This window comes from Homo sapiens, chromosome 19, assembly GCF_000001405.40.
Source record: "Homo sapiens chromosome 19, GRCh38.p14 Primary Assembly".
Taxonomy (NCBI): Eukaryota; Metazoa; Chordata; class Mammalia; order Primates; family Hominidae; genus Homo; species Homo sapiens.
Genome location: NC_000019.10, coordinates 31,552,742 through 31,575,155, shown reverse-complemented (window position 1 = coordinate 31,575,155; position 22,414 = coordinate 31,552,742). Strand labels below are relative to the sequence as shown.

Here is a 22,414-nt window from a genome sequence, read left to right as displayed (position 1 = left end):
ACTGCATACCTTTGGTATGTTTGTAAGATTAAAATACTTATGGTACAGAATTTTTTAATTAAAACTATTCATCAAAGAAAGTCCAGGTAGCAAGCTTCTCCTTGTTTGCGGTGGGGGATCTGGCAGCTAGAGCCAGAAAATAATAGGTCAATTAAAAAAAATCTAAAGATAGCATTTTCAAAGACCCAATTGTTTAATGAGCATTTGGCAACCGATCCCCCCAAATTAAATTATGAACGTGATTTTTAGTTATGGGCATCAGGGCTACACGTGGCAGAAAAAAAGAAGAGGCCAGGGAACGGAGCCACTCCTGGCTAGGTTTCCTGCCAGCAAGGTTTGCTTCTCAGAGTCTGGCGGGAAGGAGAGCAGGGACCACATTTTGGAAATTGACACCCTGAAACCATGGGGAAGTCTGCATTGAGTCCCCGCACCTCTGGTCTGCCCTACCATGCCACCTTTGTTTGTACCTCTTAAAACCCACAGCCCCGACTTGGCAGGCTTCTCTTTAGGAGACAGCAAGGAGGGCTCTGAGCTGCTACGGAAACAACCTTTCATATGGCACTCATCGAATAGGGAAAAAGAGTCTCTTCGGTTCTTTGCCCACAAGTGCTACTAATTCCCTTTGCTGAACTGTCAGCTATCAGGAGACGAGGAAGGCCATCGGAAACAAATAGCACACCTGTGGTTCCCTTAACTGATGCTTCCTCCCCCGATGCTGCTGTTACTGGTTCTGTATAAGGTGCAATGCTGAACGGGACCACTGGCCTCAAACTCCAAGGAAGCAAACATGTAATTAACATAATTAAAAAGCCAAGCAGCACCCCACCATGGGATTATGGGGCACTGTCTTCAAGTCTCAGAAATAACTGGACACTTTGGGGTTCTCAGACAAGGCATGGGTAAAAAGATATGCTCATTTTCCTTCTAGTGGGGCAGGCAGGTCAGAGTATGGACTTGATGTTGGGTCATTGAAATTCCTGTCTTCTATCTTATTCTCTTTTGAATTTGCCTTAATTTTTAGTATTTTCCTCCTATTTTTTTGGCCAGTTTTTTAAAAAAATAGCTGGTCGTTGATCCTAGATCTCAGTAATCAATTTTGCATTTCTTACACTTTAAAAATACCATTTTCTAAAAGTAAAAATTGTGTTTCTCATCAGCACCCATATTTTCATATTATTTTATAAATCTTTTTTCTATTTTCCACTCCCTACAATTTGTAAGTCCACCTTCTTGCTCTGATTATCCCAGATCCCCCAACCATATGAGAATATTGCTTGCAAACAGATATGATTTTTTAAAATTAGCAAATTATTTGGGGTACTTCTCACAGATATGGAATGAATAACATTGACTTGTGCCCTGTTATTATTTTCTAGTTTTAGAATCCTGCTCACTTTGGGGGTGGACATTTTAGTGATAGAGCTAAATCTCTGTCCTGAAATAAACAATGTAAATAATAAAATATTTTTCAGCTATCTAACATTAAGTAGACCATGTCAAATGTATTTCAAGTCAGATATTAGAAAAATAGGAGCGTAGTATACATTTACCAGCGGCGTCTTGAGTGGGTTGGATGGCTGGATGCAGGGATGCCAGGGGAATCGTCCACTCGGTCTCCTTACCAGCCCTGAGCCATTCCTGGGCATTCCAGGGACAGAGTGGCCTATAGGAAAGCTATTTTGTTCATGTCCTGCCATTCACTCCCTGATTTATTTCCGATGTAAGCTTTTATCAAAATGTCCCCACTGACGGAGGAGGCAAAGGCAGATAATAATAGAGATAGCTAATGGAGCAGGGTTGCATTGGAATTGGACCAAATCCTCCTTTTACTCGACTTTGAATGCTAAATGAATCACTCAGATTTATGTGAAGGTAGAGGCTCCACAAGGTCCGCATCAGGGCAAAATAGGGTTACAATTCAATAAAACGCGTGGCAATGCTTTATTGACTAATGAACCTACCGTGCCGCCAACTGCTGTATTTTACTGTCGCAGCCCATAACTGCCTGGCAATTACATTGTGAGTGTTTGCTAAAGATGTGCCTGTCTTTTCCCCAGATCTGGAAACAGGTTCAGCAAGAGAAGCTCCGGAAAAGCAGGTCGCACACCTTTCCCAAGTCTTCTGGGGCTAGAAGCCAGGCACAGATAATAACAGTGCAAACAGTTGATGCTGCTATTTTTAAATAAGCTGTTATTATTGACTAACAGAGGTTGTCGTGGGTGGGATGACAAAACCTCCAGTGCCAGAGAGTAGCTGCAAAGACTTCCACCAGAGAGCTCGTTAATGAGCAGCGGCTAAGTGCAGAGTTAAATGCCTGCCGCCATGCTTTCTGCTCTGTCTTCTGTGGAGGAGAGGTGGGCTGCTGGCCCGGTGCTCTAGCCATAATCCCTTCAGCCCCTGCCATCCTCCAAACATGTTGCCTATGTGCATATCTTGTCATTAGGTAAGGTGAGGAGCCCAGGGCATGAGGCTTTCCACAGCAGAGAAGGTGGCTGTTTGCCAGTAACCAGGAGTGGTTTTTAATATTGAAAAATACAGTGGCTGCCATTGTAGGTAGCTCTGCTCTCACAATACACAGTCCACATGTGCCCTAATACATGAGCTAGAGCAATTCCCAGGGGACTCTTTGCATACTTGCATGCATGCACACATGCGTGCACACACACGCACACACACAGATGGGCTAAGTTTCCTCTGAATTGTTCTTTGCCTTAGTGCATTTAAAATGAACTTCAGTTTAGGAAAGTTCAGTGCTTATGGTGCCAGATTCCTAATGTGCTGTAAAAGGCACTTGGAGGCCCCAGCACGGCAGAATCAGCAGAGAGAGCTACTGCAGTGCTGTGCTCTGAAAGGCTAGGCCAGAGAGGACCAGTGGAGCAGGCGGAGGATGAGCCAGCACCACCCTTAGTCTCAGCTCTATATGTTTGCTTTTGTTTGTTGGTTTGGTTGGTTGGTCGGATTACAGACAGGATCTCATTCTATCACCCGGGCTGGAGTGCAGTGGTGTAATCATGGCTCACTGAAGCCTTGAACTCCTGGGCTCAAGCAATCCTACTGCCTCTGCCTCCTTAGCAGATAGGACCACATGTGCACACTATCAGGGTCGGATAATTTTATTTTTTATTTTTTTATAGAGAAAGGGTCTTGCTATGTTGCCACACTAGTCTTGAACTCCTGGTCTTAAGCAATCCCCCTGCCTCAGCCTCCCAAAGTGCTGAGATTGCAGGCACGTGCCACTACGCCCAGCTAATTTTTGTATCTTTTGGTAGAGACAGAGTCTCACTATGTTACCCAGGCTGGACTCAAACTCCTGGACTTAAGCAGTCCTCCCAGCTTAGCCTCTCAAAGTGCTGATATTACAGGTGTGGACTGCCGCACCCATTCAAATGCTCTTTCAGATCTGCTTGGCACGTGTGTAGTGATGTGTTGGGGAGGAAATATTGAAGCTCATGGATTATTTAGAGCAAAGGCTAGTTGCAGAATGATTCAGGAAGTATGATTGCATCTTTAAATATTTTTTAAAACATCAAAACATACTGAATATATTTGCACATTAGTAAATGTGTACAAATGATCTAGAAAGAGCCACATCAACCTGAGAGTAATGCTTATTTACATTACATGTGCTAACATAGTGCCAGCCACTGTTCTAAATATTTCACATACATTAACATGCCTATGATGCTCGCAGCGATTTTATGGGGGCAGTTACCATCTGAGTTTTATTTTACAGAATGAGGAGTTGAAGCACAGAGAGGTGAAGTCACTTGTCCAAGATCACACAGCACAAAGCGGCAGAATGATGACTCGCCAAGACCACACAGCACAAAGCGGTAGAATGATGACTCCACCCCAGGCCTCTGGGCCTTAGACTCCATCCCGAAAATCCTGCAACATCTGCCTCTGCTTTGGACAAGGTTGTACTTAGATGGGATGAAGTTCATGGCAGTGATGAAAGAGAGTTTCAGCCTGATCTCTATGTCTCAGCTTTTAACTGGTAGATCATAAGCTCTTACTATTTGTGAATTGTATAATGTTATGTTTACAAGGATTATGGAAGCCCAGCCTGAATGCCACCATGTGATGTCAGAGCTGGTGTTTGATTTTATGGTTTGATCAGTTTGGCAAAGTAGTGCAGTCCCAGTTGTTGCAGACTAATGAGAATTGCCGAGAGAGACTTGCTATGAATAGGTGATGTGTTCTGTCCAAGGATAGGCCGCCTGGCACACAGTGGCTGGATGTGTGAAGGCTTCACTGTGGTAAGTGAGGGAATCAGACCATAGCCCATGCCAAGGGGGGCTGGCCAAACAGGACACAGTGCACTGGGTGGCCCTGATTGCCACTCACATACTGTGAACAGCCTTTTACGTCAGAACAGGACAAATCCGTTGTGCTGAATTAATATTGCTGATTTAAATTCCATTGTTTTGTAATACTTTCTATTTAAATGTAATAGTTTTGTGGTTTTGTTTACATTTAACTTGCAAATCTGTTTTGGCTGCCCTTGTACAAAAGCTCTGAGTTTCAGTTGTGTAAAATGGTCAGATGGTAAGACACTACCAGGATGCTTCCCCAGCTTATATTTTTCTCCCCCACCTCCCGCCAGGGGCATGTGGCCTCTAAGGCTGCTCATTCTCCATCCTTGTTTTGCCCACCTCCTTCACTCCTTGGGAAGCCTGCAAGAAACTCCCCATCTTGGTCAGTTTCTCCCCCAGGGTGGGACTGTCCCTGATTTACCTTTGGGTCCCCTCTCCAAGTCTGGCTTTTTTTTTTTTTTTTTTTGAAGGCAGGGTCTTGCTCTGTTGCCCTGGCTGGAGTGTAGTCGTGTGATCTTGGCTCACAGATCCGAGAAAGATAATCCAGGCTCACTGCTGCAACCTCTGCCTCTGGGACTCAAGCGATCTTCCCACTTTGGCCCGCCAAGTAGCTGGACTACAGGCATGCACCACCGTGCCTGGCTAATTTTTGTATTTTTAGTAGAGATGGGGTTTCGCCATGTTGCCTAGGCTGGTCTCTAACTCCTGAGCTCAAGCGATACACTCGCTTCTGCCTCCCAAAGTGATGGATTACAGGCATGAGCCACAATACCTGGCCCCATGTCTGACTTTTCTTAGACCTTGGTGTTTTAAAATGCACTTTACAGAGGAAATTCGAAAGCTCGTTTATGCCAAAGAGTTGATGGCTTGTGTTGGAGACAGTATACATTCTTTAAAGAGTATGGCATATTCCATGTCCCTACAAAGGACATGAACTCATCATTTTTTATGGCTGCATAGTATTCCATGGTGTATATGTGCCACATTTTCTTAATCCAGTCTATCATTGTTGGACATTTGGGTTGGTTCCAAGTCTTTGCTATTGCGAGTAGTGGCTCAATAAACATACGTGTGCATGTATCTTTATAGCAGCATGATTTATATTCCTTTGAGTATATACGCAGTAATGGGATGGCTGGGTCAAATGGTATTTCTAGTTCTAGATCCCTGAGGAATCACCACACTGTCTTCCACAATAGTTAAACTAGTTTACAGTCCCACCAACAGTGTACAAGTGTTCCTATTTCTCCACATCCTCTCCAGCACCTGTTGTTTCCTGACTTTTTAATGATCGCCATTCTAACTGGTGTGAGATGATATTTCACTGTGGTTTTGATTTGCATTTCTCTGATGGCCAGTGATCATGAGCATTTAACAAACCTGCACGTCATGCACATGTACCCTGAACTTAAAGTATAATAAAAAATATTAAAAAAAAGAGTATGACATATTCCACATAAAAAGTCTAAAGGCAGGATTTCATGCACCATAGAACTTGAGGAATATGGCGCCCATCTCTCCATGTATCACAGTGACTTTTGGGGTGGTGATGATGGGGGAGGTCATTAGCTGTCTACATATTCCTGAGATCTCCAGCTTCTATGGAAAGGGAGTTGTCAGAAAGAGGTCACAGAGAGGGAATGTGGCTTATGGGACATTTGGACATTTGGCTAAAAAGGACCTTTCTGTAGCGAGGTGTCCAGGATTCTGTGTCTAGGGCATGCCTCTGGCATAGTGGGAATGTTCAGGGATGCAGCTGTGGTCCAGAGACACACCGTACATGCTCTCTGCAACTCTGATTTCCCAGCGACAAATTCAAAGGTTTGAAGATATGATCTCCAGAGGCCCTCCAGTGTGACATCTGTGAGACTAGAATTTAGGATGATGCCTGGGGAGGAGACCTGTCCAGTTTCAATGGCTCAATCCCCTTCCGCCAGCCAGGGCACCCCATCAACAGTGTGTCTGCTAATGAGTTTTCTGCATTTACCAGAAGGAAGGCTGGCCCGACCCTGCCTCATTGCCAAGTCAACAGGGATACATCTGGCTGTGCAAAGGGGACGATTCACCTCTGCTCACATTCCAAATGCAAAGCCCAGCGCTGGGGACATAATGGGAATTTGTGACACTCCGTGGAGAACTTTAGGCCCATAAACCATAGACAGTATGTAGTCGCTCATCTGTGACAGGCATAATAGGGATAATTGTCACTTAATAAGTAATCCAAGGCTAATTAAATGTTACTAATATACATTGCAAAGATTCTTTTTTTGCTTCTCACACTCTTCAGAATGTCCTGCATGAAGCGGTGCAGGGTACACTCCTGCAGGTAGAACATGAGGAAAACAATGAAAAAATTCCATTGCAATGGGGCTGAGAAAAAAAAAAAATCAGTCCCTCGCTTCTTGGGATCCCTTCAGCACCTTGAAAAAGGAAAATATCCTGGGCCCCCAAAATCGCTAAGGAAAACTCAAGCTGGAAACTGCTTGGGGCAAACCTGCCTCTCATTCTATTCAAAGTCACCCCTCTGCTCTGTGGGATAGATGCATATCTGATTTGCTTCCTTTGGAGAGTCTAATCAGAAACTCAAAAGAATGTAAGGGTTTGTGTCTCACCTGTGACCTGGAAGCTCGCTCCCCACTTCCAGTCTTCCTGCCTTTGCTTCAAGTTGTCCCACCTTTCCAGACCGAACCACATGTCTCCCTAAAATGTATAAAACCAAGCTGTGCCCTGACCACCTTGGGCAACATTTCATCAGGACTTCCTGAGGCTCTGTCACGGGCACGTCCTCAACCTTGGCCAAATAAGCTTTCTAAATTAACCGAGACCTATCTCAGATTTTCTGGGTTCACAACCTATAAAGGCAGGTAGGTCCACGGAGCTTGGGGACGGAGTGGGGAGGAATGGCCTGGGCGGACATGCAGTCACTGTGGCCAAGGTATAAGCCGTGCCTTGCCTGCCTCTCCTCCCACATAGCGGTCTCTTCACAGGCAGATGCAACGTACCTGAGGGATTCACTTGTACAGCACTAGGTACCCAGCAATGATTTGGAAATTCCGTTGGAAAAACCGAATCCTTTATGCTTGAGATAAGTTGACTCTGAGGGAAAGCTCTGCTTGCCCCATGATGGAAGGACATAGTAGCTACACCATGCAGATGACCCCTTTAGGAACAAGAGATGCATTCTCTGGCTCCCGAGAAGGCTGGTCCCTGACAGCTTTCAGCCGAATTCCTTCTAAGAATTGACCTCTGCTAGAGAAAGCTGGCTCCCCAAGGTCATACCATGCCCTGGGGGCAGCCTACACCCAATTACTGGTTGAGACAGGATGCAAAGATGGGGCCCTTCCAAAGGTCTTAGTTCATTTTAGCTGCTGTTAAAAAAATAGTTTAAACTGAGTGGATGATAAACAACAGAAATTTATTTCTCACAGTTCTGAAGTCTGGGAAGTCCAACACCAAGGTTCTTACAGATTCCGTGTCTAGTGAGAACAGTTTTCCTGGTCTGTAGACCACCATCTTCTCCGAATCCTCTCATGGCAGAAGGGATGAGGGAGCTCTCCCACGCCTCTTTTATTTATGTATCTTATTGTATTTTATTTATTCTTTTGAGACAGGATCTTGCTCTGTCACCCAGGTTGGAGTGCAGTGGCACCATCATAGCTCACTGCAGCCTCCATCTCCCCTGCTCAGGAGATTCTCCCAACTCAGCCTCCTGAGTAGTTGGGACTACAGGCATTCACCACCATGTCCAGCTGATATTTTTATTTTTAGTGGAGACAAGGCCTTGCTATGTTGCCTGGGCTGGTCTCAGACTCTTCAGCTCAAGTCATCTTCCTTCCTCAGCCTCCCAAAGTACTGGGAGTACAGGCATGAGCCATCGTGCCTGGCCATGGGGCCTCTTATAAGGGCGCTAATCCCACTCACGAGGACTCCACCCTCATGACCTACTCCCTCCCAAAGGCCCCAGCTCCTGATACCGTCACATTGGGGGTTAGGATTTCAACATATAATTTGCAGAGGACATAGACATTCAGTTCAGAGCTGCCTGTGGGACTGGCCAAGGCCTCACGTGTGCCTGCATCCCGGTTCACCTTCTCCCTCTGCTCAGTACTTTCCTCCTTCCCTCTTTTTTCTTTTTTTAATTTTACTTTAAGTTTTGGGATACATGTGCTGAAAGTGCAGGTTTGTTACATAGGTATACATGTGCCACGGTTTGCTGCACCTGTCAACCTGTCATCTAGGTTTTAAGCTCCGCATGCATTAGGTATTTGTGCTAATGCTCTCCCTCCTCTTTCCCCCTGTCAGGCCCCCCATGCCTGTGTCCATGTGTTCTCATTGTTCAGCTCCCACTTATGAGTGAGAACATGCGGTGTTTAGTTTTCTGTTCCTGTATTAGTTTGCTGAGGATGATGGTTTCCAGCTTCATCCATGTCCCTGCAAAGGACATGAACTCATTCTTTTTTAAGGCTGCATAGTATTCCATGGTGTATATGTGCCACATTTTCTTTATCCAGTCTATCATTGATGGACATTTGGATTCAGGGACCCCTCTTAAGGACATGTCTGCATGTGAATCTAGGATGCAGAGTTTGCTTCCAGGCTCCCCTACCCTATGCCCCAGTACAGTGGCTCAGGCATGTGGAGGGCCTGGCTACATGAAGATTCAATCAAGTGCTCCCGCACTCACTTCTCTGCCAGCTGCCGCTGTACGTTGGGCTCTGGTGAAGTAGGGCCTGCCCCAGGGATTTTTATGAGATGAGCTCTGAAGGAGTATCTTTGTGCAAGGCCTATTAAGAGATGGAGGGAGAGTCAGGCACTACAGGTGGTATGCACCTGTAGTCCCAGCACTTTGGGAAACTGAAGCAGGAGGATCACTTGAGCCCAGGAGTTCAAGGCTGCAGTGAGCTATGATCCTGCTACTGCATTCCAGCCTGGGCAACAGAACGAGACCTTGCCTCTAAAAAATAAAAATAAAAAAAGAGATAGAGGGTGCAGGATAGGGCTTGAGAAACACCCCATCAGGACACGGTCTCAGGGAAAGCCTCACTTTGGCTCCACTGGGAGAGGGTTCTGGAGCACAGCCTGCAACTGGCGGGAAGGGCCTGGCCTTTCATCTCAGCCGGTAAGTGGCTGTGGCTGCCCTAGGAGGGGGTGACAGGAACACAGCTTCCCAGGCATGGCAGCTTCCATGGCAGAGGTGGTTATCCCGAGAAGGGGCACCTATGAGCTGTGGCCACACTTGCTGCACTTGGAGGAGGAGGGCACTGGCTGCTGAGAGCCATCCACACTCTTTTTCCCAATGCCGGAGAGCAAGTGTTTCCCTTATGAACTATGTCCACCCGGGCCCAGCTGACTCATCCACCCATTTCCTGTTTCCACTGATGAATCCACGTCCACTCTTCACATCACAGAACATTTTTTAAAGAACGATAACTTTTATATTTGCATGGGGCTTTTATGTTAAAAGCCCCTTCTCATCACAATCTTCTCATCTCCTGAGCACATTGAGGCAGGTGGGACTGGCATTGCTATTCTATTTCACAGGCAGCCAGCACTGAGCCCTGAGAGAGGCAGGGTTCCATTGAAGCCACCCAGTCAGAGGCAGAGCTGAGCTCAAACCCAACCCTCCAGTGTGTGACCTCTAGCCTGGGTTCTGGAAGCCAGGCAAAGGCTCCCATAATGTTGCCAACCAGAAGAGGTCATAATTTGTGCAGTGCACAGCTTGTGCAGCCGTATACCGCAGGTCTGCCCCTGTTCATACTGACTTGAGCTAGGGTCAGACCCCGGTGGTGACCTGGATGATCAATGCTAGCATAGGCCAGCCACATGGCATGGGTCTACTGCATCCTTCCCTGCATCCCACTAGCCTTGTTTCCTTCTCACAGTTTCCATTCCTCAAAACCCCAGCTCTCATTGGTTGTTGGCTTGCCAGTGTGGCTCTGTCTACCTGAAACTGACCCACAACCTGGAAGTCCCCTGCCCTCTGACACTGATCTTAGCTCCCATTCCTGGAAGGACAGTGGTTCAGCTTATCTTTTGCTGCAGGGTCAGAGGTCACTGGCCAGTATAGGGATTGGTACATGTGGGCATCATCCCAGTGCAATGAAGGGCGTGGCCAGGACACACGGTGGGAATATCTGGTACAAAAGGGTGGCTGGTGCCCTTCACCAGGTCTGTGCATAGGACAGGCTCCATGCCCCCTGTAGTGCAGGAAGACCAGAGCATCACCAGTCAAGAACTTTGGGAGAAGATTCTTATGCTGATGGGAAGTTGAATGAAGGCCCCCTCCCATTCTGAATTCTGTAATTCTAGGGCCCAAACTGTATCCCTTAGAAATAAATAGAACAGCAACTCACCATTTAGATAATTGGCCCATTTGGTGAAGTCTTTCCAGTCCAGCCATCCAAGAAACAGTCTGCCAACAGGCTGTAGTAGGATTCTAGCAGGTCCCGGTGATCTACAATGGCCATGAGGGCCAAACACATGGCTTTCTATAGGATTGGCAAGAACAGCCTAGTGCATGTCACCATCCACTGGAGTTAAGTGGGTTTTAGACTCAGGCTGATGGACCTACCTTGACAGAGAAGAAGAAAGAAGGTTTTATTAAAAAAAAAAAATAGGGCACTGGATTTTAGGTCAGAAGACCTGTACCATGGCTTTGGCCAACTAGGAGGATCTCTCCAAGTTGCTGTTCTTTCATCTGAAAAAAAAAAAAAATGAGGACGGTAATTCCATCTGGCCTGTCTCCCAGGTGGTTTTGGAAATCAGATGGGTAGATGTTTGTGGAAGCTGAGTATGCCCATGGGTGCTCAGCACAGGTGAGTGTGTGCATGACAGTGACAGAGCTCTGGGACTGCATATGCCCTGACCCTCTCCTGGGCTGGAGCTGAAGGAGGCCTGGGTGTCACCTCTGTCCAGCTCCTCACTCTTCATGTGCCCCCAAACCCTCCCTCCTGAGTGCAAGCAGGCATCCTTCCTGTTGGAGGGAAGCCACCCCACCACCTCTTAGCTCCACCCACATCCCTCAGGCTTTCTGTAGTCAGTCATCCTCATTCTGCTTTTTTTCTTTTAAGGTTTGCTTCTTTTCAAATCCCTGCACAGAGTAGGGGAGAGCCCTGCATAGCTTCCACCTCTTTTATATACAGTAGCTTGTTTTATGACTTTGTTTTAAAAACTATTGGCTTAGGGTGCAATAACACAGATGTCTTTGCCTCACAAGAGAACCGTGAATTTCCGCTTCTCTCTCCTTGGTGACAGCTACATTACCTTCCATGGATAGTCTTTTCTTTGGCCCTGGAATAAGGAGGAGAAAAAAAACCCGCTGTTTTCTCCTGCAATTGTCCCTTGCAATAGGGCAATCGGATCGATAGAGCTGGCGCCCACTCTCCTTCAAGGCGCCCCCTACCAAGTCTTCGGGAGGCAGCCCTGTCAGCAGCCTCCTGGCGGTGGAGGAAGACTTAATGTCCCCATCCCCAAAGGAGTGCTAAAGTCATCGCAGGAGAAATATCTGTTTTCTCGCTTGCGTTCTGCAGGCGTTTCCATAAGTGGTGGCAACCCAATGGCGGGGAAACTTTGTTGGCTGCTTCACTAAATCTTCACCTGCCTGACCCCAGCCTGACAACTTCTTAACACGCGCGGAGAACAGTCAATGCTCTGTGCAGAGCTGAGAGCTCCATCAGCCTCTCTGCAAATGTCGGAGTCCCGGTTGGATGAGAGGAAGGAGCTGGAAGGCAGATTTACACACACATCACGGCCAGGCGCGGCGAGGAGGAGGCAGCCTGTCTTGTGCTCGCATGCAGAACTCTTCCCGCTCCTAACATGTCAGGCTGTCATGCTGCCTCTTCCCCGTGTGGAAGTGGTAAGGTGTGAGTTTAATTAGCATGGAACAAAATTTCTTACTATCTAATAATAACACCTTGGATTTTTATGTTACCTGCTCTCCAACGAGATCAGAGCATTCAAAGTAAATGTGCTTCTTCATGGCATCTCTTTGTACTCCAGACGTGAAGATTGATTGCATCCCCATTTCACAGAAAGGGAAGTCAAGGTAGAGAGCTATTGCTGGCTCACCAAACCATGGAAGGAACTTAACGGCAGCCTCCTAACTTAATAGTTTTCTTTCAGTTCTGCGCAGAATCTATGGGCTTACTTTTCTTGGAAAGAAGGGTGATGGAAACCACGTAGGGGTTGCAGCCACCAGGGCCTTCAGATGATGGGTAGGTGACCTTCATGAATGGAGTGGACCATGTGAGAGACAACATGCAGTGGCGGGATCTGGGCAAACTGGAGAGGGCCAGCTGCCTCAAAGGGGAAGCTTAGCCCCAGGTAATTACTGACATGCGAGAATGCAAACCCAGCCTTGCCAGGGCCTTCTGATATTTAGATATACACATGTTGACCAAAAAGAAAAAGAGAAGAAGAAGAAACCATCCCTGGGTAGCTACTATGTCTTCTTATTGGGCACAGCCCCAAGGCCTCCAGTGTGTGACTTCTAGACTAAAGCCGTGTTTAAACTAGATGGGCACACTGGCCTTTGCTTGGCGGATGAGGGTGAGCTGAAAACGCACTGGCTCGGGAATAGTTGGAGGCTATGCTGCAATGTGAGCAGGAGATGACAGGTCTCTGAATTTCAGGAGTGGCAGTGGCATGGAGAGATGGAGGAGGAGCCCAAAGAAGTAGAGGAAAAAGAACGAATGAATGTGATCCACTGAATGAGGGGTGAGCTCATGATGGTTCCTGCAGGAGATCCCTGGGTCAAGAGGTTAGAGGACAGACGAGCCCAGAGACCTCCCTGTGAGACACAGGACCCAGAAAGGTGGATGATGAGGTCTCAGCCTAACACACTCCAGGTAGCAACAGGACGGGCAGGTAGAAATGTCCCATGTCCTGGATGTGCTCAGGCTTCGGGATACCAGGTGCAGTCCACATGATAAAAATGTGAGCATAAATAGCTGCCATCTCTATGTTGTCTCAAAATGAAAATCCTCCCCAAATAACAGATAATCCTTTAAAGAAAATACATTTAGCTTTTTATGAAAAACTTACTCCTTGGAAGGCTGGGCATGGTGGCTCACGCCTATAATCCCAGCACTTCGGGAGACTGAGGTGGGCAGATTGCTTGAGGACAGGCATTCAAGACTGGCCTGGGCAACATGGCAAAACCCCGTATCTACAAAACAAAAAAAAAAAAAAAAGAAAAAAAATTAGCTGGGTGCGGTGGCATGTGCCTATAGTCTCAGCTACTCGGGAGGCTGAGGTGGGCGGGTTGCTTGAGCCCAGGAGATTGAGGTTTCAGTGAACTATGATTGCACCACTGTATCCCACCCTGGATGACAGAGCAAAATCCTGTCTCAAAAAAGAAAGAAAGAAAAAAAAACCTGTTTCAAAAAATATTTTTTTAAAAATACTTACTTCTTGGCCTTTCTTTTTATTTCGTTTAACACAAATGACACAGGTGTGTGAATTGCTGTTTGAGAGCCTCTGTTCTGGCTCGCAAGAAGAAACTGGTGGGGAAAAGACCGAGGGTGGAGTTTGGCAGTAGTCATGAGAGGGAAGATGGGAAATTTGGGAGGACACAGGATCCCCCCAGCACCACGCAGCCTAGGGGAGAGAAACAAAAATCAGGAGGCTGGGTTTTAAGACCTGGAGGATGTTCTCAGCCAAGTCTAGAAGAAAAAGAACAGGAGACAAAGGGGAAGGGGTGAGTGTCGGGGTCGCAGGGCAGCAGGAGGAGCTCAGGCAAGGTGCATTTGGAGGGCTGAGGCAGCCTGGTTGGCTCTATGGGCATCTCGGACTTCCAACTTGATTCAAAATCACTGGAGCCCTGCCCTTTTCACTTTAGGAGCCCAGACACAGGCTCCCGCATCCCTACTGAGCATAAAAGCACACATCCGAAATTCCAGGAACAGCCACAGCCGCCTCTGGACACCAAGAACAAGCAGGTGAGCTCAGCCGGGCAGCTGCTTGGGGCTGCACCAGTCTCCCTGCTGCTCAGGGACCACCCCAGCAACGGCCCCACACAATCCATAATCCAAGAAGGCCGCTGAGCAGACGCCTTCTGGAACCATTATCTGTCCCTGCATCGGGTCCCTGTGCTGACGTTGATGAAGCTTCTCCAGACACTTGGGCAAGAACCTTTTCCTGGGATGAGGATTAACCATGGCTATTAGTGTTTGTGAGAGGGGAAGCCTCCTCTTCCTTCATCGGAAGTGCGCGCTTCCTGGGGATTATGAGTTAATGTATCTGGAACGGCGTCCGCCTATCCAGGTTTTGTGGTCTCCCTGGAAGTCATATCCCAGGGCTCCCACGGGCCACCTGGCTGCAGTTCCACTTGGATCAGGGTTTTCCATTAAATGCAACGAGGAGCTCAGGCCATTTATCACAGTGAATCTTGTGCCCGAATCTGGGAGGAAATGGTCAGTGCTCCAAATCAGAGCTGAGTTCCCTGCCAGGAACTAGGTAGGGCCAGCAGTGCTGGATTTCTGGGACGCATTGAGTTGTCTGTTTGTAAAAATGGAACCATTCATCTAGTCTCTCCTTTGTGTGTTGTCCATGAGTCAATGAATTCCACGGATAACACATCCATTCATTCACTCATGAAATGTTCACTGAACTCTCATTGCATACCAGGCCTTATTCTAGGTGCTGTCAAGAGACAAGATTCCTGTCTCACATTCCAGGGGAAAAGAGAAGCATTTTACTTACAATCCTAAGTAACTGCAGAGCGTAATGAATGCTCAAAAGAAAATTTAAAAGAGGTTACTATGATAGACAGTGACTGGGCTACTTTAGACAGAGTGGTAAGGGAAATAAATGCCTGCTCAAGGCGGTGGAATCTAAGAGGATCTGAATCCAGTCAGAGCTGAGGGTCAGGAAGATTATCCCAGGCAGAGATAACAGCAAGTGCCAGGACTCTGGGACCAGAATAAGCATGGCGTATTTGAGAAACAGAAAGTTCACTGTGGCTGAAACCGAGTGAGAAAGGCAGGACCAGTGGAAGATGAAGTTGGAAGAGAGGCAGAAAAATAAAGCCTTATAGGCTGTGATGGGGATTTGGGATTATACCATAGTTTCCAGGAAAACCATTGAAGAGTTTAAGCAGAGATGTGCTGTATTAGTCAGGATAGGAGAAGTTGTGCTGCAGTAACAAACAACTTTACGAATTCATGAGCTTAGAACAATTTCTCCATCTTGGCAGGGTTGGATGGTGTTGGAAATCTGTTCTTTGCGGTTTCATCAGAAATCTCAGATTGACAGACAATCTGCCTCCTGGAATGTTGTTGGTCCCCATAACATGAAGCAGGGCAGATTGCAAATCAGGCACTCTTCCAAAGGTGTCCACCCTGGGAGAAACACAGGTAACATCTGTCCCATTTCATTGACAAAGCTAGCTATTAATGCTTGCCTTTCTTCAGGAATACTTGTTGCTGGCACTAATGACTATTACATAGGGCACATGTTGGTAGAATGAGAGCCTAGGGACCCAGCAATAGTCCCTGTCACCCCTGCATTCATGGGCTCGTATTCCACCATTCAACCACTTAGAAACATCATCCCCTCAACAAGGCCAATCCAGGCATGGAGTTTGATTGCTGATGTGGTACTAGAAATGCAGTTGTTGCTCTGACCTTTTCCAAAACAACTGGGAAGGAGCTCCAGGAATGCAGCTTTTTGGGAGTGCAAGTGCAATGTTGCAAAGTACAATGACCCCTGGGCTGCTGCTGGCCAACCCCATGCCTATGAGCACCCAATGCTGCCCCACTCTGCAGCAGCCTGGGAAAGACACTTGCCTGGCTTGGGTGGCCCTCACCATAAAAACACCAGATGTCCCCACCTTCATGGAAAAGCCTGGGATGGCCCAATGTCCCAGCGAGGCCGCCAAAATTCTCCTTTGCTGCCGTTGACTCTAATCTCTGGTGGCTTTAATTCCTGCAGGGCTATATCTGCTGTGATATTTACCATGTGGATATTACCATGTCCCCGCTTCTGTGTCTTCCCTCTGTTTCCCTGATGTCTCCTTCTGCAGCCTTGGCCTGCCTGCAGCGAGTGGCCTCCTTATGAATCACAACCCCCGACCATGGCAGGTCCTCTGCAGAACTCTGGATGCCACCAGAGCATCAAGGATTGCTGTTCTCCAGTGTGACCACTCATTGACTGAACTCCAAAGAGAGTGGCCTTTTCCCAGGTAGGACAGGGGCCTGCCACAGTGACCATCAGACACAATTCTGTCCTTCTGCAATGTGACTTCCTGGCTCACCTCAAGTTCTGCTAAGAGGTGCAGGGGTGCCCTGCCTGGACCACCCACCCTAGGCAATGCCTTTGTCCTCCCATACATCTTTCTTGACATCCTTACACTACTGCCAGGACAGAAAGTCATTCCCAAGGCTCCTCCACAGCCTCTCTCCTGGCCCACCCTGAGCAGTGCACACCTGCCCCTTGGGTCGGAATATGCTCGCAGGGTGTTTGCTTCCGGCCTGCCTGGCTGTGCTCTCCCTTTACTCTCTGGCCATGCCTTTTGTTTGTTTTGTTTTGTTTTGCTTTGGACCAACTCTCACTCTGTTGCCCAGGCTGGAGTGCAGTGGTGCGATCTCAGCTCATTGCAACCTCTACCTCCTGGGTTCAAGCAATCCTCCTGCCTCAGCCTCCCGAGTAGTGGGGATTACAGGCACGCACCACCCCACCTGACTAATTTCTTGTATTTTTAGTAGAGATGGGGTTTCATCATGTTAGCCAGGCTGGTCTCGAACTCCTGACCTCAAGTGATCCACCCTCCTAGGCTTCCCAAAGTGCTGGGATTACAGGCGTGAGCCACCACTCCTGGTTGCTTTCTGGCCATGGTTATTGTTTCCTGGACCAAAGGCAGCACCTTGACTCCTCTCTTTCTTGCCTCCTTGTAGCCTGAGGACACTACTGAGCAGTTAATAAGAACTCAGAAAGCCTCATTGATTTGAACTGGGTTTTGTGAAAGTGCAAAAATTTCACAAGGTTGGGTCTACGGTGCAGTGTTGATGGGAGAGAAAGATGGTCACCTGCAAGGCATAGGCCAAAAAGGTGCTCTTGGCTCAACCCTAGACTGGGAGACAGCATCAGTGGCTCTACTCCTGGCTCCATATGCTGCATGGCCGGGAGCCATTCCTTTCCCCCCTCCAGGCCTCTCCTCCCCTTCTGATCAATGAAGAAGGGCTTCCGGGTTGGATGTCTGAGTTTATAGAATGCGGGTCGTTCAAGTAGAATATATACTGGCCAAATAAAAAAGAAAAAAATGCTAACCTCACTGAACTCACTAATGATCAAGGAAATGTAAATCAAAACCACAATGTGATATCACCTTACTCCTGCAAGAATGGCCATAACCAAAAAACCAAGAAATAATAGAGTTGGTGTGGATGTGGTGAACAGGGAACACTTCTACACTGCTGGTGGGAATGTAAACTAGTACAGCCACTGTGGAAAATAGTGTGGAGATTCTTAAAGAACTAAAAGTAGAACTGCCATTTCATCCAGCAATCCCAGAGGAAAAGAAGTCATTATATGAAAAAGATACTTGCACACACGTTTGTTTATACCAGCACAATTCTCAATTGCAAAATGTAGAACCAACACAAATGCCCAACAATGAACTTGTGGATAAAGAAACTAAACTGTGGTATATATGTACAATGGAATACTATTCAGCCATAAAAGGAATGAACTAATGGCTTTTGCAGGAACCTGGATGAGATTGGAGACTAGTATTCTAAGTAAAGTAACTCAGGAATGGAAAACCAACATCGTATGTTCTCACTCATAAGTGGAAGCTAAGATATAAGGATGCAAAGGCATAAAAATGACACAGTGGACTTTGGGGACTCGGGGAGAAAGGGTGGGATGGGGGTAAAGGATAAAAGACTACAAATTGAGTGCAGTGTATACTGCTTGGGTGATGGGTGCACACATCACTATTAAAGAACTTACTCAGGTAACCAAATACCACCTGTTCCCCAATAACCTATGGAAATAGAATTAGAAGAAAAAAAAGTAGAATAGCCTTAAATTTGACACTTGACTCCCTTCTAAGCCAGGCAAGATTAATGTGCTGGGGGTTAGAGAAGGCATGATTAGAAGAATTCACATGGGTTGCATTCTTCGTTCCTTACTCCCTTTCCCCATCAAGCTGAACAGCTCTCTGGCTACCACGGCTGATGCCACTCCGATCACCTTCACTGTCAACCCCCATGTGGTGGCCGCTGGGAGGGGCTGCATAGACCTCGTTTCAGAACTCATTCTCCTCTCTGTTGGGAGAGCCCCTGACAGACAGCCCGCAGCAGCCAGCCCCTTTCAGGATTGCCTTGGCTGAAGACCACTGCCTTGCCCAAGCTCTACCTCTGTCCCAGGCAATGATGCCCAGTGTTGATTGATGGGGACAGGGTATGTAGAGGCACACTCGGCACTCTCTCCCTTGAGCTGGGCAGCTCTGAAGGCTCATCCCATCTTCAGGACTCTCTGCAGGACTGGCTGCAGCGTTCGGCCAAGATTTCATGGCAGCCTGACTTTATCCTCTGCTCAGGCCTGTTTCCTTCCTTGCCATAGATGGGATCTCAGGAGTACTCATTAGCAAACTCCTGCACACTAATCTCCTTCCCAAGAGTCTACTTCCCAGGAAACTCAGCCTATGTGCCCCACAAATAACCTCCAAAGAGAGGAGAGACTGGGTAAGGGAAGAGAAGTGAGAAAAACCACACACACACACTGAGGACAGGTGCTGCCGCCTCCTTCCACCTTCCAAGCTGTCCTGGCAAGCATTCCAGCCCTGACTTTGCTCCGGGGAAAGCCCTCGGGCATGAGTTCTGCTCTCCCGTCCTGTCTGCAAGCTTGGGTTCAGATGAGCAAGTCTGCTATTCCTGAGTTTAACAAGTGGTTGAGTAAACAGCCTTTACTTTGATCAGGCATGTGGCATCTTAAACAAAGGTGTATATTTGCTTTTTTTATCTAATACGGATCATGTGATCTGACTGTCCCAGGGTGGACACCAGGGGTCAGTCCCACTGCATCCAGCAGCCTCGTGGCCCTGAGGCCCAGAAAGGCGACAGGACGGCCAGAGATCTCAGCTTGTTGGCCAGGGCTGCATCCTTTTCCTTCACAGCCTTTCCTTCTGTAACCCCTGAGCCTCTTATAGAGCATCTTTTCAGTTTCTTTTGGCTTCTCTGGTTCTAAAGATGCAGAGAGGCCTTTTCTACCTGTCAGAAGTATTTCCTGAGTACCTGCTGGGAGTCAGGCACTGTGCTGGACACAGAAGGTTCAAAGAAGACCAGAAACATTGTCCTGGTGTTGACGCACACGGTCCTATGCAACGACAGATGAACAAGCTGAGAGGGAGGCCACTGAGAAGTGACTGGAGACCCAGAGGAGAGGACTCCCACCAAGCAGGGGTACATCGCACCAGTGCTGGGGGCAGCAAAGCCTTCTGGAGGAGGTAGCATTTGGGCTGGGCCTGGAAGGAGAGTGACTTTCCTGGGAGTTCACCTATTGTCCTGAGTTGCCAAAAGCCACAGGGGCTCTTCTAAGTGCTGCAAATCAAGGCTGGCTCATCTGGGCCTTTCTGGGCAAAGCAGCACCCCTTAGGCCTAGACCTCGGCCCTTCACCTGACACCTGTCCCGGTTTCATTTTAGCCCTATCCAGAAACCTGCAAGCAGGTGTGCTCTTGGGGCCAGAGAGGAGAATGGATCTGTGGCGGCTGCTGAGAGTTGAGGGAGCCGCAAGGGCCCGGCGTATTCATGAGGAAAGATCTCTGCCCTTTTATTGGGAGGCCCCGAAGGTCAGGTCTTGGGACTTGAACTCCAGATAAGACTCCCTGGTGAGCACAGAGTGTGGCTGCCCTGTTGCAGACAGCAAGAAGAGGGGCTGGGTGGGGCTTTTACCTGGGGCTCAACAACCCCACCTTGGCCAGAGCCTCCCAGCTGACCAGCTCAGAGGCTACAAGCAAATCTCAAATTTCCCTTCTTCCTTGGGCTTCCATATCTCAACTGTAAAACGCTAGCCTTGATCCAGAAAAGCTTCCTGTTTTTTCGTTTTGTTTTTTATTTTGATGTAGAGCCTGTTTCGATAAACAATGCGTAGCGCACATTTAGTGTTCCCCACCCTGTGTCCAGCAGTGGGGATGAAAGGGTGCTCCAGTTACAGTCTTTGTCCCTGTGGGGCTTATGCTGATTCATTCCTTTCTCCATTCTCTCTTTCACTCATCAGTTCCCTCCACAGTTGTCCGACACGTGCCAGGCTCTGTTCTAGGAGTCGAGAATACAGTGGTGAGCAAAATGTGCAGATCCCCACCTTCACATGACGGTGGAGTGAGGAAAAAACTCAGTGAACAAACAAATAAAGTAAAATCTCCATGCCCTTCCTCCCCCAACCCCAAGAGTCGCTGCAGGAGCTAATGAGGACGCTATCTCCGCACTCCCTAAGGAGGCCAGATGCTTTAATTGGACTTAACTTTCTGTAAAGTTTAATGGGAAAACATAGTTTGTTTTTAATTATAAAGAGATAATGAATCCTGAATACGCCTCTCCAAAGAATGCTGCCCTTCCCCACAGATACTGATCTGTTCTGACCCCTGTTTTAGGCTCATTTCCGTAAACGGATAACAATGAGTCTGTGCTATCAAGGAGAAACCGAGGCAGCCAGGCAGGGAACTCCCCCACGACTGACGTCTTGGTGGATCTGCTGCCAAAGCCCATCTCTGGGCAGCTTTGGAAGTGGGGGATGGAGGTTATTCTGGTTTAAGCTGGTCTCTTCCTTTCCACTCTGATGCCTTGTCTACCCCTGGGGAGAGCAGGGAAGGGTGGGGCCGTGTGTAGGGAATCTCGAAGTGATGTGGTCAGTTCAACGAAGTGGGTGGCCTGGGTTGGCGCAGCTAATGAACATTTTTGTCTTGTTTGGTTTCTGCCTGCCTCTGTTTATTTTTGCCTAATAGAACAGGCTGACTTTTGATGCCGTCCAACAACTGACTTTCTCTCTTTTTCCATGCAGCCTCACTTTGCCCTGGACTGGAAATCATTTCTGTTTTTCCCTCTACAGGCTCTAGGGTTTCAGGAACTGCTGAACTGAAAATAATTCTAGCTGAGAGGGCTTCTCCAGAATACCAGGGGTGGGTTCCAACATGTGCGAGGGGCGGTAGCCCTAGGGCACAGCCCAGCTGGGCCTATTGCAGGGCCAAGCATCTGCTAGGAGATTGAAATCACCAGCTACTTAGATTCATGCGGAATCTAAGTGCTTGTGAGTTTTTATTTGGGGATATAAAGATACTTTCATTGACCCAGCTGTCTTAGAAAATTAGATAAAATCCAAAAGATATGTAGATAATAAATTTAATTCCAAACTTTAGAGTCTAAGACACAGACTGACTTGCAGGCAAGGATATGAAAAGGCACCTTCAGGTCTGTCCCTGTGGATACCGATGACTAAGGCATCTGACCAACTCGACTGACACCTCCAGAGAAACTATTTGGGCAAGGCGTGGTGCTTGGCAGGGCTCCAGCAATGAACACAACGGAGCTTCTACCCCAACACAGAGTACTGTCTTCTCAGAGTGGGGCCTGATGTGGCACAGACATGTCATCAAGGCCACGTGATGTGAGCTGCCACATCCGGCTGTGTTGCTAGTAACAGAAACCCAGGCCCCAATCTCTGGGTTGGGAGATTAGGAGGTGGGGACAGACATTAGGGAGGGCTACACAGAGGAAGCAACAGTGGAGCTTAAACCTGAGGAGTAAATGGGTAGACAGCGGTGTTCTAGGTAGAGAAAATACCATGGACAAAGGCCTAGAGAGTAGAGAAAAATCAGAACTTCAGGAAACTGAATGAATTCAGTGTTTCTGGATTAGAACCTGTGATGTGGGTGGGCAAATGAGGACCCACCCTAGGCTGACGTCTCATCATAAAGGTTCTTGTAAACCACATCAAGGATGAGGGCAGTCTGCAGCAGTGTCTCAGCCTGCAGGCGACAAGGTCAAATTTCGCTTGAGCCCAGGAGTTCAAGACCAGCCTGGGCAACATAGCAAGACCCTGTCTTTACAAAAAATTTAAAAAATTATCCAGGTATGGTGGGGCACACCTGTAGTCCTAGCTA

General features: G+C 47.7%; 1 long non-coding RNA gene across 1 annotated transcript in view, besides 2 other annotated features; it reads right to left on the bottom strand.

Moving 5' to 3' along the window:
- Positions 389–948: an enhancer, noted in NCBI's record as "OCT4-NANOG hESC enhancer chr19:32065114-32065673 (GRCh37/hg19 assembly coordinates)". NCBI's record gives its function as "activates a minimal SCP1, AML or CMV promoter by ChIP-STARR-seq in naive H9 embryonic stem cells {active_cell/tissue: H9 hESC(naive)}" and the evidence as "EXISTENCE:reporter gene assay evidence [ECO:0000049][PMID:30033119]".
- Positions 20,353–22,414, bottom strand: part of LINC02841 (long intergenic non-protein coding RNA 2841) — a 34,617-nt gene continuing 32,555 nt past the window's right edge. The window contains exon 3 of the long non-coding RNA NR_184026.1: positions 20,353–20,573. This is a non-coding gene — a long non-coding RNA (long intergenic non-protein coding RNA 2841). The remainder of the gene's footprint in view (positions 20,574–22,414) is intronic.
- Positions 20,919–22,118: an enhancer, noted in NCBI's record as "P300/CBP strongly-dependent group 1 enhancer chr19:32043944-32045143 (GRCh37/hg19 assembly coordinates)". NCBI's record gives its function as "activates an origin of replication core promoter dependent on BRD2, BRD4, P300/CBP, MED14 and CDK7 cofactors, with strong dependence on P300/CBP, by STARR-seq in HCT116 cells {active_cell/tissue: HCT116}" and the evidence as "EXISTENCE:reporter gene assay evidence [ECO:0000049][PMID:35650434]".